General features: G+C 35.7%; 1 protein-coding gene across 9 annotated transcripts in view; it reads left to right on the top strand.

The window, feature by feature from the left end:
• Window positions 1-17,306, top strand: part of THEMIS (thymocyte selection associated) — a 221,968-nt gene that overhangs the window by 203,615 nt on the left and 1,047 nt on the right. For 6 of the 9 annotated variants that reach the window (NM_001164687.2, NM_001394520.1, NM_001394521.1 and 3 more), the window contains one exon: window positions 4,965-6,781. In NM_001164687.2, coding sequence (NP_001158159.1) covers window positions 4,965-4,996 — 32 coding nt within the window. In that variant the 3' untranslated portion in view covers window positions 4,997-6,781. Of the gene's footprint in view, window positions 1-4,964; window positions 15,517-17,306 lie in introns of those variants that run through there. The other 3 variants (XM_047418766.1, XM_047418764.1, NM_001318531.1) reach the window with 2 other exon arrangements.

Below are 17,306 nucleotides of genomic sequence, written 5' to 3'. Positions count from 1 at the left end.
CCCTAGAGATTAATTTATTTCCTGCAGTGTTTGCTCTTCATGGAAATCTTACTCGCAAGCCTTCACCAATGGGAGATCTCATCAGCAGAATGCTAATTATGAAGGCAAAACCGTGTACCATATTGAGAGGGAAAAACAGTTCTCTAGGCAAAGCAACCTTTTTCTTTTCTTTTTACTCTGCTCTCTGCTCCATCTATGGTTGAACAGAAATATTAACCCCTGGGAAACTATTCCATGAGGTGCTGGGGGATGGTAGAAAGTGCAAGTTTTGCAATGAGACAGACCCAAGACTAAGCTCTAATTCAAAGAATGTCACATTTGTTTGTGATTTTGTTTTCTTATCTTTAAAATTAGAATAAAAATACTTATCTTACAGGAAAGTTCTTGTGCTTTAAAATATCGCTTAATGTGTATGTTAAAAATACATATTCTTGGGATCTATTCTCTAGAGCAGAGCTGGGAAACCATCATGGCCTATGGGTAAAATATTAATAGGTCCCATTGCCTGATTTTTTATGGCTGGGGTGGCAGGAATGTTTGATTTTTCATTTTCAAATGTTAAGGAATATTTAAAAATAATATTTTTGACATGTAAAAATTTTATAAATTTCAAATTTTAATATCTATGAATAAAGTTTTATTGGAACACATCTACACTTATTTAAACATTGTCTATGACTGCTTTAGTGTTCTATCAGCACAGTCAAGTAATGGTAACAGATATTTACTGTCTAGCCCTTTAGTGAAAAAGTATGATTCAGGTATACCACGGGGATGTGTTTCAATGTATCTCAGGTGAGTCTGCTGTAGGGGTTCTATGGATCACACTTTGAAAAATAATGCACTAGAAGAATTGTGAACAACCTTTCATTTCTTCTCACTTATCACACCACTCTACCAGAAAGTCTGATTGGCTTTATCTTCAAAGAACATCGGAATATGCCCATTTTTTTTTCCATGGCTACTGCTACCAACCAAGTCTAAGCTATCTGCTGCTATCAACCACTGTCTCTCATCTGGATTCTTGCACTTGCTTTCTAACTAGTCTATTTGCTCGTACACATGGCCCATAGTGTCCATTCCCAACACAACAGCCAGAGTAAGTGTATAATAATCTTAAGCCAGATTGTGTAACTCCTCTCCTCAATATCCTCCAGTGGCCTCTCTACTTCTCCTTTCTCACTACTCTGGATATGTTGGCCTCATAGCTGTTTCTCAAAAACCCTAGGAGAGCTCCATCCTCAAGGCTGGCACAGACTATTTTATCTAAATGGCATAATCTTTCCCCAGAGATCCATGTGGCTTTCAGATTCACTTCCTTTAGGTCTTTATTCAATGGTTACCTTCTTAGTTATCACCTTATTTTAAAACTATAACCCTCCTGTCTGGCACTATCTGCCTCCTTTGTGCTCTCTAACATATTTTGCAGTGTCCTTTTTATTTTGATTATTGGTCACCTACTCCACATAAGGTCACTATGAAGGCAGGGATTTTTTATCAGTTTGCTCTATCCTTAGGTTATAGGAAAGTGTCTGGCTCATAAGAGGTTCACAGTAAGTATTTCTTGAATACAAAAATGAACCCCAGACTCCTATCTTGTGCTTGACAGATTATGTGTGGATTCTATCAAACATTTTCTGTATGCAAAAACAGTTGCTGGAGTACACATAGAAGACTCATCTCTGAAACATGATACAATACTCACTTAATCACTTCAAATGAGAGGGGAAATAAAGCAGCTATTAACTTGTATTATTTGTTTGTTCAGTCTCAGCCAACAATTTGATGACAAAAGATACAAAGGAAAGGGAAGTTAATGGTGGGTAAAAATATGAAAACATGAATGAAAATCCTGTTGAAACTGTTCAGAAGAGACTCCAAGAAACCACAATCAAGTTGCATCCTAAAAGAGGTAGATGGTTCATGGCAGGTTTGAGTGTTCACCATCACATTGAGCAATTTCAGGGGACTGGCACTCAAAGTTTCCCAAAAGTGACAAGGGAACAGCTTTCCTTCAAATTAACACTTTAGGAAACATCAGGTTTATAAGAGAATGTAAATTACTTTTAGACATACTTCAGCTTGATTCCTCTAAAATATAACGAAATTGAAATTTTCTTTCACTTTAACCTTCTTATTCTAATAATTACCCATGTAATTTTATGCTTATAACTTCATTTTGTAAGTTATTATTAAAAAGATGTAATTCTGACCATTGAAGGACACTTATTTAGCCTGTATTTTTGAGAAAGAAAAGCAAAAAGCAAAATGAAACTCCATTCTATGTCTACTCTTCTATGAATGAAATAATTTACTTGATCTCCAAGGAAACTTGTCTACATGATTCCAAATACCTCAGTTAGTCTGATCAACTGAGTAATTGGTTCAGTGAATATCCATTTCAACATGAGAATCATCACCTCTTTATTGAACTTGTGACATTTCCAAAAGGAGTAGGTGAATGCCAAAAAGATAAAGACTTTAAATCAATTTGGATTTTAGAACCTAAATTATTGTCAGAAAAACATTTCTTGCACATTTTGAGATTTCCTGAAAGGTAGTATGCAAGAAACACAGTTTCTATTCAATGTGGAATCTCCTGCTCTGTCAACTAGAGCTTGCCACCAGAGCATAGATGTAATTTAGAGGACCACTGCACTGGGTGAAGATTGGGTTAGATCAGGCAGGGTGAGCTGACGTATAAGGTCTCTTCTAAAACTAAGATTGTTTAAATCCCAGTTTTTTATTTGGAAATAATCTAATTATTTTAATTACCTCAACTCCCATTTTTCTGCTTAACTGTGTACTATCTTAAATCAGCTTATTGACAAGGGAGAGTTGGACAAATAACTGTCAAGATGACAGATTGAACTTTCAAACTGCATGCTTATAATAGTTTTATGTGACTCTGAGATGGCAATGGCAAGTGATATTTCTGTAGCACTTTACATTTTACAAAGTAATTGCAAGCTCATTATTTCATTTGGTATTTCCTCAACTCTCTATGATTCAGTTATTATAATGAAAACTTATCCACTGATAAGGAAATGGAATTCAGAGATTCCTCAAAATACACAGCCAGTTAAGTTGTAGACTCAGGAATCAGACTTAGGTCTTCAGTTTCCAATTCTCTGTACTACAATTCATTTATTTCATTTTCCTTCATCCCATCCCCCTGCTCCCTAAGAAAAGCAGCACTGTAAGGAAGAAATATTGCTGTTATTCCTTTTTATAGATAAAGTCACAAAGATAGTAAATGATAGAAGTGGGAATTAAATCTGGGCATACTGCCTAAAAATCTTGTGTTCTTATATCTAAAATGTATATTCTACAGTATATGGTTTTATTACTGTTTGTCATATAAGAAAGATCTAAAAAGCTAAAGGCAGCCATTGAGGACAGTGGATCATGAGGAGAGGGAAGGAAATCTAGGAGAGTATGCAATCCAGGTTCTCTTCACCATCAACCCACTGACCACTCCAGCTCCCAGTCCCAGTTAACACTGATGGAAATGTTGACAGAGGAAAGTAAATTCAGATGATTAGGGAAATTACCAAGGTATGTGGAGAAATCGCTCTTCTTTCTCCTTTGACATTACCTTTCTTCCTTCTCAAGTAGTCTGTGACCTCCTCAGGAGCCACAGAACTGCATATTTTGTTTCTGTGTTTCACACACATCATGAAAATCGCTGAGATAGTGAGATAATTTTAGTCTTTTTACATTTATTGACATATTCTATCTTTGCAACTATTCCATTCAATAGGCATTATTCTCCTCCTTCTCCTTTAAAAAAAAATGAGAAAATGAGGCATATAAAGGTTAGTAACCTAAAGTAAATTACTTTAGGTTATACAGCTAGTGTTACAGAAAAATAATTCAAAGAAGAAAAGAAGAGAGGAAGCAGGAAGAAAAAAAAGAAGAAAGTGAGGGAAAGTGGGAGAGGAGAAGAAGGGAAGGAAAACAAATGGAAGGAAGGAGGAAGGAAGGAAGGGAGGGAGGGAGGGAGGAAGGAAAGAAGGAAGGGAGGGAGGGAGGGAAGGAGGGAGGGAGGCAGGCAGTTATAGGCTATTGAGTGCTCAGAAGGAAGACCAACAGAGACTTTCTCTCCAGGTCCTGGCAGTTAGCACTTAACTAACCTCTAATACAATAGAAGCAGGGGAGGGTCAGAGAGATTTCTGGTTTTCTGTTCCTCTTGACCACTTGTAGTGCTTACTTTTAGGGCTTCTTTTAATTACCCATCCATCGCGCTCCATAAAGCCATAGTAGAAAGGAATAAAGTGTCTTGCCTGAAGATAGGCACAATTCCTATTCGTAGCGTAGCTTGCTTTATTTGAGAGTCTGACATGATGTTGTCTCAATGCCAGGTATGTGTACATGTTAACTAGGAGCTTTAGATAGTACAGCTTATGCTGGAGGCCTGTTGATTTTTCTTCAGTTTAACAATTATTAGGTACCTTTTTCCTCCTCTGTAGTTCTTAGAACTCCAATAGGCTTGCATTCTATTCAGGAGGCATAGTGCCACAGCCAAAGCCTGTTGAGTCTGGAAACAGACATTTTTAGACACAATCAGCTTCATCTTCTTACTAGCTATGTGATTGCTGGGCAGGTCTCAACTTCACTGAGGCCTCAGTTTTCTACCTTACATTACCCATATGATAGAGTTGTTATAAGGATGAACTGAAACGCAAAGAAAAGCATTTTGTCCACGGAAAAACACTTTATACATGTAAGCTATTATCTCCTACCTCATACAAGTATCTACCTTGTTTCTGAAGAGTGAAAAGCTTACTTTCTTCTGTTTCTTTTTTTTTTTTCTTTATTTTGCTGGCTCTTTCTGCTTTGCTTCCAACCGTTTCTCAAAAACCATATGCATGTGAGTGTCGACAGTATTTGAAAGCAGGCAGTTTCCTTTCTGGTTATTTTCAATACTTATTTCTGATAAACCCTTCTTTTTTTATTTATAGAAACATTCAAAAATGAAAAACATCAAAAATAACAAGATGTGACAGAAGCCACTTAGGCAGCAAACATAAATGTTGCAGTGAAAAAAGAAGCTAGCCTTCTAGCTGAAAAACGAGTATTCCCCAATGGACTCCAGAAGAAACTTGATTCATCGCTGCAAAGGAAAGAACAACCTTAAAACTTTTAACAGATAAAACTTACAGAAACCTATGATATAGAATTCATATAGTCTATTCTGTTGTGTCTAAATCTGTAGGCATTGTGTTGTTGTTCTTTAGGACGTATTTATTTAACTTGCACATTTTTTCAGATTCTTATTTCTACTACCAACAACTAAGTAATTGGGAAATAATTCTGTATTTCAGTTTCTGAGTAAAACCAGTCTGAAATAGGATAAAAGCCACCAAATATTTTCTTTTTTTTCCAGAATTTGTTTTGCCATTTTTTAGTGCTATCATCATTCCTAACAAGACTAACTTACAGAAAAATAATTATATCTGACTGATTTAAAATGTTCAGGTTTCTTATCCAAATCCCTTGGAACTATGGAAAGGAGTTTGATTTCACATTCACAGTGTATTTACAAAATACGCTGTGTCATAAATATGTTTGAATTCCAACAGCCAAAGCCATTGAGAGTCATAGGAGTTTTCCATAACCTTCTCTTCTATGACCCAACAACAAGCTCATGACTGAAATTTCACCAGATTTCTGAGACGATGTCTTAATATTCTATGTGCTATGTACCAGATAATTCTTTAGATGAATGTTTCTTAGGATTGTAGGAAAATTATCTAGTTAATCATAATATTTGATGGAAAGAAAAAGACAATAAAATTGTAATATAATAAATTTGGCTGACAAGAAACCAAAGTGATTCTTAATTAGTATACATCAGAATGATGCTCTTATAGTTGTACCATCTATAAAAATTACTTTAAGGGCTCTCACATTTTAATAATTTATCTTATTATGTATTAAGTATACAGGAACAATATTATTTTTCCTTTAACAAAATGAAGAGACAGGCTATCTGGTTAATGTTACATAGGAATTTAATAGTAATGCTTGAACTTCATCCATAGATCATACTCTGTACAAAATTTGTTAGCTAACATCCTATCTCATAATTATTTTATGTTTTGTGGAGAAATTTGTTGATTTTGTACCAAAGTGTTTCTGAAGACAATAAATTGTGAGTCAACTTTAGAACAAAAAAAATTAGAGTTTTTTCAATGTTTATATTCTGATTAAGCTTACTTTACCTTACATTTTTTCTAAGTAACAATGAATCCTGATTTCTAGTGTCCTAAAAATTGCTTAGTGATTTGATTGTGGTAATATCATTTCTTATCTACAATGTCTAAAGTTTTATGGGACAGTTTTTCTTTTATTTATTTTGCCTGTTTGTGCAGATAAGAACAGAAACTTTTCTAAGACCCACATTTGGTTATTGAAGGCCACAGCGAATCTTAACCTAACAGCCTTGACAAACTGCACCATAGGTGTTTTTAGACTCATATAATTTGTTATTTTTCAAACAATAGTGAATAATTAATATTTTTGTTTGGAATTTGAGAACAATTAAATTTGTACTTTTAGTAACTACCATTCTTTGATTAGAAAATTAAGAGAATGCATATCTTACTTTGGTTGTAAATTATCAAGGGCTTTCTAATAGAAATCATATATAACATTTCTAAATATAAGTCCTTTCACATACTGTGTTTCCAGTTGTCTTGATATTGAAAAGTGTAATAAACTTCATGCTCACCTATTGGAGATTTGGGAAGGTTGAAAATAAACTTCCTAATTTTTATTTGTATGTGTTCTCTTCTATGTTTAACTCTAGAATAACTATCTTCCTGTAACGATTAAGTTAAAATATTCTTTAACTAGAATTGAAATAAATTGTTCACTAAGGAGGGGGCTGCTTGTGCTAAAAAAGCCATGAGGAGGGAGATTGTCCTCCCTGCCCTCTCCATCCCCTATGGACTTACAGTGCTGAGCTCAGTCATAATGACCAAATTTCACAGCATGGCCAAGCTGCATAGATAGGTGCCAAAACTACCAATTATTAATATTGGCCTCTTCCTAATTGAATCAGTCAAGCAGTTTTGGAAAAGGCTGTCAGAAAGGAGTGAGAAATGGAAAGAGGAAAATGTGATTGTTGAGATGGGCTAGCTCAACTCTTACATCCAGGATTTTAATAGAAAAACTCTTTAAGATTAGAGTCAACATATAATGAGACTTTTAGGTGTTTAACCAAAGGTTCTTGGTTCAAGTTGCCTCTAAAAGGAAGATGATAACATGTAAAACGCTGGGGAGAGTCAGAATTAGGATCTAATTATAACCCCGGTAGGCTGGACTACTAAAAATGAAATCCAATAGAATAAAAATATTCTTTTGATTTTACCATGAAAATATTTCCACAACTATAACACTTCTGACTGCTTCTACTTCTACTGCTGTGGTCCAAACTTCAGTCATCTCTGTTGGATTATTGCAAAAACCCTGTAACAATTCTTCCTGTTCCTGCCCTTGCTACCTATCAATCTATTCTGATTGTGAGAACCAGAATGATCTCATTAAAATATGTGCTATTATTACACACCACAGTCATGTCCTACCTCATTCAGAGTAAAAGCCAAAATTCCTAAAATGATCTAGAAAGGTGTGCACAATACATTCCCATTCTCTCTCTGTACTCTTCCTATTCGTTTTGCTCAAGTCATGCTGACCTTCCCATTTGATATGGTTTGGATGTGTCCCCATCTAAATCTCGTCTTGAATTGTAGTTCCCATAATCCCCATGTGTCATGGGAGGGACCTGGTGGGAGGTAATTGAGTCATGGGGACAGTTTCCCCCATGCTGTTCCCCTGATAGTGAGTGAGTTCTCATGAGATCTGATGGCTTTTATAAAGGCTTTTTCCACTTTTGCTTGGCACTTCTTGCTGCCACCATGTGAAGAAGGACGTGTTTGCTTCCCCTTCTGCCATGATTATAAATTTCCTGAGGCCTCCCCAGCCATGCTGAACTGTGAGTCAATTAAACCTATTTCCTTTATAAATTACCCAGTCTTGGGTATACCTTTATTAGCAGTGTAAGAATGGACTAATACACCATTATTCATCAACCATGCCAGGGCTATTCCTACCCTGAGGCCTTTGCATTTGCTGTTCTCCCTGCCTGGAACACTTTTTGCTCTCCTCTCCACACAGGTCACTCCCTTACTTCCTTTAGGCTTTATCCACATATTACCTTCTCAATGTGCCTTGCTCTGGCCACCCTATCTCAAACTGTAACCTCAACTCTTATTGGTCTTTCTATCTCCTTCCCTGCCTTAATTTTCTCCATAATAGTTTATTCTATCTAACAAGCTATATCTTTTACATGTCTTGTTTCTTTTCTGTCTCCTTTACACTAGACTGTAAACCCCCTGAAGGCAGGATTTCTTATTGGTTTCTGCACTACACCCAGACACTTAGAATAGTGTCTGGCATATATCTGGCACTCAATATGTGTTTGCTGAATGAACTGATTAAAGTTAGGAATATGAGAACTCAAGCCAGACTGCCCAGGTCTGAATACTGACTCCCTGTTTACTGGGTTGCCTTGGATAAGTTTGTGAGCCTCCTTCTGCTTCAAATTCCTACATATATGTAAAATAGGGACTAAAATAGACTCTACATTGTAGAGTTGTTGTGATAATTTGATGAATGTATAGATGTAAAGTGCTTGGAGCTTTGTCTGAGAAAAAGTAAGTCCTCAATGCATTTATGTGTTTTTATTTTATAATATATATATGTTCTAAATTATATATAAAATATTACATCAAGGTTTTTTAGTTTTGGAGTCTTGCATCTTTTCTTCTTTGAGTTTTCTTTCTTTCCCACTTCCACTCTTATGTGCCATGACAAATACTCATCTAGTCCTTGTTATCTTAGCTCAGGTTCCCTAGAAGCACAGGTTAAGGGGGAAGATACTCGTTCAGTGGTTTATTGGAGTGTTCTTAGGAGAAATCTGTATGGAAGTGGAAGAAGTCAGCAGGATAGGAGAAGGATCTAGATAAATACATGGTTTCATAAGAACTCCAACCTAATCTTTCCAGCCTGATCCTAAGGGTACCCTGGAGCATGGATTATACTACTGTGTTGATCCCTCAGCTGAACCTTCAAAAATTTGTTCCAAATCCAAGAGGCCAGCAGGTTCCAAATTGTGTACCCTATGATACAACAAATGAGTCCCATAGGTATATCCCACTGTTGCATCTCCCTTGTGACAAATTGTGTCACCTGGTCTGAGATGATATTACACAGGATATCATGTTGGGAGAACAGAAATTCTGTGACCCCTCTGTGGCGGTGCTGGCTGAGGCACTGTGGAAAGGAAAAGTAAACTAATACCTGGAGTATATTTCAATTTCAGTTATGAGAAAGCATAGATTCTTCTTGGATGAAAGGGATTCAGTGTAATAAAATTCTTACCAACTGACTAGGTTGTTTCTTCAATGGATGGTAACTTATCAGGGAGAGGGCCAAACACCATTGGTCTTTGTGACAGGCAAATTGAAGCTTCAACAGTAACAGTAACTAGATCAGCCTTTGTGAGAAATGGTTCATGCTGTTGGCCCATGACTTACAGTAATATCTGCCATCATGGTTACTCCACTCATGAGTCCATTGTGCAAGTACTGGGGTGAATAAGGACAGAGACTAGTTGATATCTACTGATTAAGTCAACATGTCTAATTGATTTTATAGTACAGATGTTCTGTGATGAACACCAATTTGCTATATAAAATTTTCATACCTTTTCCCCATTTTCATAGGTGTAGTCATCCTCTTCTGCAGGTATTTTTATCCATGATATTCAACTCTATCTGAATCCAAGTATTTGACTAACCAGCTAAGTCATTTGCTATTAAAGCCACTTGCCAAGGAGTTTATGTTTATCTTGATTGCAGGCCATTTTTCCCTTTACACACAAAGTGGACAACCAGATGCATGCAACTCTGTCCACTGGGAGGATTTCACTTCACCATTGTCTTTCAGACCCACTCCTAAGTGAGGCTCTAGTGCAACAGTAATCCATTTGGGCCTCTGCTAATATACTAAGTTGACCCATACATGAATGGATCCACTTCATTTTATTAGTTGTTTACAGAGAACCTCACCATGAGCTCTGGAAGTGTAAGCCGAATAAAAAGTGCAGGTACAACAATGTGGGTGAGTGCCTTGTGTGCTTCATCAGTCACTCATTGGCACAGCTCATTTGTATCATCTGGACCTGCTCCACCCCAGTCTTGTATGTGCTGCTTCTATCTTGCAAAGTGCTGCTGCTGGGCTTACTTGATCTTATGAATTCCTGTGTCTGATAGCAACTAGCTCAAGAGGGCAGTTTCAGTCATATGATTATACAATGTTCTATTGTCATATATCAGTCTCCTACTTGGTAAAGTAGCATGTTGGCAGCAGCTTTTCAAATATTGTGTAGTTCTGTGATAAAATGTCATGGCCATGTTCCAAGGATTGCACAGTAATTCTCCTATTGGAGCTTGCCAGAGGTTTCATACACTATCTTTATCTATTAGACGCCCATCAGCTATATATCTAGATACCCATAGTACCACAGATCTTTCAAGTAATATGGCAGAGGTGCAAGTTTGCTGTAACCACAGACTTGACCTCCCATATCAGCCCGCCTTCCTCCTGGCCCCATACAAAACTGTCAGTCATTTGCGTTACCTCATACATGATTCAGAGCAGTATATTCAAGTGTGGCATATGCTGCCTATCCAACCCCAAAAGCCTTACTAAATGCTGTCTTAGTGGAAAGAGGTGTAAAGGACATGCTATGGTCTAAATGTCGGTGTCTTCCAAAATTCATATGTTGGAAACCAATACTCAATGTGATAATATTAAAAGACGGGCCTTTTAAGAAGTAATTAAGTCATGATGGCTCTATTCTCAGGGACAGGATTGGTTCTCTTACAAAAGAGGTTGAAGGGAGTGTCCTTGCTCCCTCCTGCCATGTAAGGATGCAGCAAGAGGTGCCATCTTTGAAACAAAGCAAGCCCTGACCAGACCTCAAATCTTCTGGTACCTTGATCTTAGACTTCTTAGCCTCCATAATGGTGAGCAATAAATTTCTGTTCTTTATAAATTACCCAGTCTGAGGTATTTTGTCACAGCAGCCCAGAACAAATATAGTGCAATAACCTGTTCTTTGTCTGAGGAGATATCCTAGCTTCCTTAGCTCACCAGAATCTTAAAATTTTTATCCATATGACCACATCTTGTATTTTTGCAAGGTTTAGTTTATTATTTATTCTGTTATTAATGTGCCAAAGTGTTAATAAAGAATGAGAGCTAGATACATACCCTTTTAGGTGACTAGCAAGGTACTTAAGCTATGGGGCCCTAGTCCCTGTAGTTTGTGTTTGCTGATGTGACCCTCATTCAACATATTCTTGTCATTTCTTGAGAACAGTGCAATGATTGGGTACACAGGAAGCTGCAGCTTGGTGTCTGAGCCCTCCAGGATTTTCTTGCCCCACATAGTACTTGCTATCTGCTTCATACCCTTATTAAAGCTAAGTAAACTTAGTGTTTGGTTTACTTATTGTTTCTTGTATCTTTGATTGACAATGTGAAATTAAAACTCATTCTAGCCGGGCGCGGTGTCTCACGCCTGTAATCCCAGCACTTTGGGAGGCCAAGGCGGGCGGATCACGAGGTCAGGAGATCGAGACCATCCCGGCTAAAACGGTGAAACCCCGTCTCTACTAAAAATACAAAAAATTAGCCGGGCGTAGTGGCGGGCGCCTGTAGTCCCAGCTACTCGAGAGGCTGAGGCAGGAGAATGGCGTGAACCCGGGAGGCGGAGCTTGCAGTGAGCCGAGATCCCGCCACTGCACTCCAGCCTGGGCGACAGAGCGAGACTCCGTCTCAAAAAAAAAAAAAAAAAAAAAAAAAAAAAACTCATTCTAAAGGTCTTGTTTTTGCAACGTTACAAAATAAACATAAAGTGCTAGAAATGATAAATATGGTTTGGCTGTGTCCCTACCCAAATCTCATCTTGAATTCCCACGTGTTGTGTGTGTTGAATCATGGGGGCAGGTCTTTCCCATGCTGTTCTCGTGAGAGTGAATACGTCTCACAAGATCTGATGGTTTTAAAAAGTAGAGTTTCCCTGCACAAGCTCTCTTCTCTTGTCTGCCACTATGTGAGATGTGCCTTTCACCTTCTGCCATGATTGTGAAGCCTCCACAGCCACATGGAACTGTAAATCCAATAAACCACTTTCTTTTGTAACTTGCCCAGTCTCGGGTATGTCTTTATCAGCAGAGTGAAAATGGACTAATACAATGATTAATATGATAGCTAAAAAAAAAAAAAACAGGTTAGACACAATAGAAGAGAAAGTTGCTGAGATGGTAGACCTTAATTAATTACCCAGAATGCAGCAAGAAAAGACAGGACAGTGGAAAAGAGGTGTTAAAAAACACTGAGAAGAGTTTAAGAAGGCAGAATATTTACTTAATTAGAGTAAGAGCACGAGAAATTCAGAGAGTGATGCAAGGCAGAAGTGAAGTAATATTCAAAGAGATGATGTCTGAGACCTTTCCAGGAATAACAAATAATACAAAATTTCAGATTTAGGAAATACAGCAGCATATTTCAAGAAGAATAAAGAAGTAATTTCCTTACAACTCATGGTGAAATTTCAGAAGGAGGATATAAAATAGGACTTGGACATCAATTGGACAAACAGTTGACTTTTGTAAGCCTAATACAACAGCTGGAAGATGGGGTGACAAGGGAAAAAGCTCTCCAGTGAGAACTGTTAATCCAGTTAAAAGATTTTCAAAAATAAGAATAAAAAACTTCTTATAGATGAACAAAAACAGAGGGGCTTACAGTCAATTGAATTCTTGGTAAAAGGATATCTAAAGGGTATACTCTAAGAAAGAAAATAAGTCCAGAAAAAAAAATCCGAGAATCAAGAATGAGTAGGATATTAAAAAATAATTACAGACTGGAAGATATTTACAATATATAAGTCCAATAAAAAATGGTATCCAGAAGGTATAAAAGCCTGCTTCAAATCATTAAGTAAAATTCAGACAAGCTAATTTTAAGGAAGGGTAAAGAACTTAAGCAGGCACTTCATAAAAGAGGATATTCGAAAGGATAATGAACATAAAAATCTGCTCAAAATCACAGCAATCTTTAGGCAAATGCAAATTAAAACTACAACAAGATATATCATTATAAACCTACCAGATGGCTAAAAGTTTTTTTCAAAAAATGAACGTTTTGAAGAAACTATGGAGCAGCCAGAACTCTCACATATTACTGGTGGGAGTTCAAATTGATAAATCTATTTGGAAAACTGTTTGGCACTGTCTCCTAAAGCTAAACATACACCTACCCTATGACCCAGAATGTCTATTTGTGTAAATCCAACAAAACCAAATATAAACTAATTTAGCTACCAATAAGACATGTACAATGATGTTCCTAATAACTTTATTCAAAGTAGTTTCAAACTGGAAGCAACCCATGCCCAGGAGTAGTAGAATAGGCAAACACATTGTAGTGTAACCACGCGATGGAAACTGATGTAGCAATGAAAAAGGATAAACTACACAAAAATGCAACAGCTTGGATGTTTTTTGAAAACCAGAATCATAAAAATTAGATACAGAATAGTATTTACTGTATGAATCATCAAAATTAGACACAAAATAGTATTTACTATATGATTCTGTTTATATAAATATTAAGAAAAGGCAACAGTGCTTTATGGTAATAGAAAGAAGTATGATGTTTGCATTTGATTTGGTTATGACTGGCTGGGGAGGCACAAAAGTGGTCTCTGGGGTGATGAGAATGTTCCATATATTAATCTGTGTTATGGTTATATCAAAATATACATAGGTTTTGATTAATGAAGGTTTGCACTATAGAATTACGCACTTCACTGCCTTTGTGTAATAAAGCAACAGAACGGTAAGCACAAGTTTGAAAATAGTACTTATCCTGGGGTACCCTGGGGTAAAGTTTGAGGAGAGATTGGGGATGAGAGCCTAACGGACTTAAAGTGTATTGACAATGTTATATTTCTGATTGTATACGTAGTACATGTTTTACACATATAAATATTTTATATATACAAAAATAAGTGGAGGAAAAACGACATAAGGGAAACATTGCTATTTGATCTGGCCAAAAAAGAATGCAGACATTCAGCAAACCTCCCATAAAATACATATTAGAATCCCCTGTGTGCAGTTTATTTCATCAGATATAATGTTGTTAGGCACATACTTTAGCTCTGCTATCTTGCTAGAATGCATTTTTTCCATTGGGATGATCTCATAAATATTTTCTTATATTTATCTCACATGCTAATAAAAGATAAGAAGTACATTTTCTTCAGCATGTTCCTTAAAATGTCCCAAATCATTTTGTTAAAAATAAATGTTTTCTACATTGTATATCAAGTTCTTGTCTTTTGCAGTATTCAAAGTAAAATCTGAACTTTTTAGTGCATGTTATCAAAGTACTTGAGGTACTTAATGCATATGATATTTATACTTTTTTAGACATAACCCTGACGTTTAATTTTTTTTTTGTTTTTGTGCATTCTGAGGAAATCTCAAGCTGGGCTGAATATTTCCAATTCATGGAAAGATACATGAAGAGTTCTTATTTCTAAGTAAGAGATTAGTAGTGAAATACTAGCAAAAATATTTATTTATAGTGCTCATAGGCTAATTAGACTAAATAGCACACTGTTAGAGGAAGACTACTCTAATGTTTTCCTTCTCCCATTACATGAAAATAATTAACTTTGTCTAAATAATTCTCATTTAGAATAGGTTTTCATTTTTATTATGATTGAAACTTGAATCATAAATATGTATATAAATATTAAATACAAGTTCTTCATCAAAAATGTGATTCGCAAATATTTTTACTTGATCGGTGGTTTATCTTTTCATTTTCTTAAAATAGTCTGTTAAAACACAGTTCTTAATTTTAATGGAGTTTGATTTATAATTTTATTTTATGGATCATGTTTGTGTGTCATATTTAAAAAAATATTTGCCCAACACAAGTCATGAAGAGTTTCTATTGCATTTTCTTCTAAAATTTTTAGATTTTACATTTAGGTATATGATCTGTTTGAGTTAATATTTATGTATGGTATGAGGAGGCATGGTTGTAAAGATGCTTTTTTTATTCTTCCTGCCTTTATTTTTGCTTTCCTTTTTTCCCCAAATAGATATTTAAGCTTTCCATCACTATTCGTTAAACAGACTTCTTTTTTCTATTGAATGGCTTTTGCAAGTTGATTGAAATCCAATTAATCATGTACAGTTCGGTTTATTTCTGATATCTCTGTTCTATCAATCTCTTTTCTAGACATGTGGACTAGTTCTTGTAATATGGTGGCACTTTTTAGACTTAAGAAGAGTGAAGAGAGTGGGGAATGTTTAGTGGAAGAACGTATCCTGTGAAATTCAGGAGCCACATCATCTAGTATGTACAATGTACTTTTCACCCTAGCTTTTAATTATTTACTTTTGTCAAAAACCTTCAATGAAGTGTATTGAAATATTACATCTGAGATGTTACTTAATTAAATAATGTATGGAAGAAGAGCGGCCTACACTTAGTGAGAAGTTATACAAACATAGAAACCACACACAGCCAAAAAAGATGGTTATGACACTGCAAAATGTGACAGTAGAAGATCTGAAGTAGTAGACAGATTTACTGTGATGAGAAATAAATTAGATAAATTTGTGGATCACATAGGCACTTTTAAGACATCCCCTCCTCCCAAAGACTTGGGGAGGGAGACCTTGAAAGAGACTAGATTTCCTATTGATCCTGTGAGAAGAGAAGTCTAACTCTTTTTTATTGGATTATAATAAGGAAGGAATATCCTAGAAATATGAAGAGAGTGGAGATACTAGGTTTGTACCAAACTTTGGCCTTTTTAAAAAAAATGTATCAGCTGCAAAACTTAAGGCTGTGGAATTTCTAGACTCTAGAATTATCTCCTTAAATTTTAATTAATTCTCCAGATAAAAGTGAAAAATTAACAACAGTATAGCAACTAGTCAAAATACTTTTAAATTATCTGGTGTGATTTTTTTTAAGCCATACAATTTAGGAACTCACAAAATGAAGAAATACATTTCCAAATTAATAACTTAGTAGAGAAATTTCTTTCTATTTTCTGGGCCTGGGTGGGGACTTCTACCCATTAGGAATTTTGTTGTATCTTTTCAGTCAATATGTAGTATATAGCTTCTAGGAAATATGTCAAACCACACCCACAACAGGAGAATAGGTCCTGTATGATTGTTTCATCTGAGTGAATATGCTGTTGCTTGTTCATAGTCAATTGAATTAAGGATAAACATTATAACAGGAGGAGAAAACTCACAGGTTTTTTCAGCCAGAAAGAGTAACCTTCCTTATAGACTTGTGTAATATACTACAATTTTAATATGGCCTCTGAAACAATGGATATTAACGAAAGAGGGCATATTCTCCTATTGTCCTTACATTCTTCCTAAAAGACAGCAAACCTGGCCTTGACCTCACAGCTGTATGGACCAACATTCTTATCTTGTCCATAATGTAGTTCAAAGATTATATGCACTAATGTTATAAAATTCTGGTGAGTCAGGTGGTGTACTCTATTTTCCATATCAAGATTAAAAGTTTTAAAAACCTAAACATTGTTAAAAAATCATCTGAACATTATTTTAAAAGGTTTTGCCTATTCACAATAGGTTGTCAAAGACTATCATTAAAAATTTCATAAGATCAAGTTATCAATAACAACCATAAATGATTCAATTAAGTTGAATGGCTATTTTTAAATTTTCTCAGAAATTTATAATTATCTCACAAAATCTATGTAATTACCAATTATGAAAGCAAAATCATTAATTGGCGAGTTGTATAGAGCAACATTAATTTAAATTGTAAAAGGTCAGATAATAGCATTCTACCAAACATACATAAGCCCAGGATACTATACATGGAGGAGTAACTTGATTTTGACAAAATTAGTTTTAAATCTACTGTTTCTTGATAACTTATAAAATAAACAAATAAAATATATAGTAGAATGGATATTGATAATTTTTAAGGAGAAACATTAATACAGGAAAGGGGCTCTAGAAGTGGCAGTGCTATTCAGATATGCAGTAAAAGCCTTAAAGAAAATGAACATTTCATTAAAATCCTGAGGAAGTGATCACAGTAGTCATATGAACATCTGGAGAGAGAATACCAAGGCATTGAGATTA

This window comes from Homo sapiens, chromosome 6 (genome assembly GCF_000001405.40).
Source record: "Homo sapiens chromosome 6, GRCh38.p14 Primary Assembly".
Taxonomy (NCBI): Eukaryota; Metazoa; Chordata; class Mammalia; order Primates; family Hominidae; genus Homo; species Homo sapiens.
This window is presented reverse-complemented; position numbering and strand designations above follow the sequence as displayed.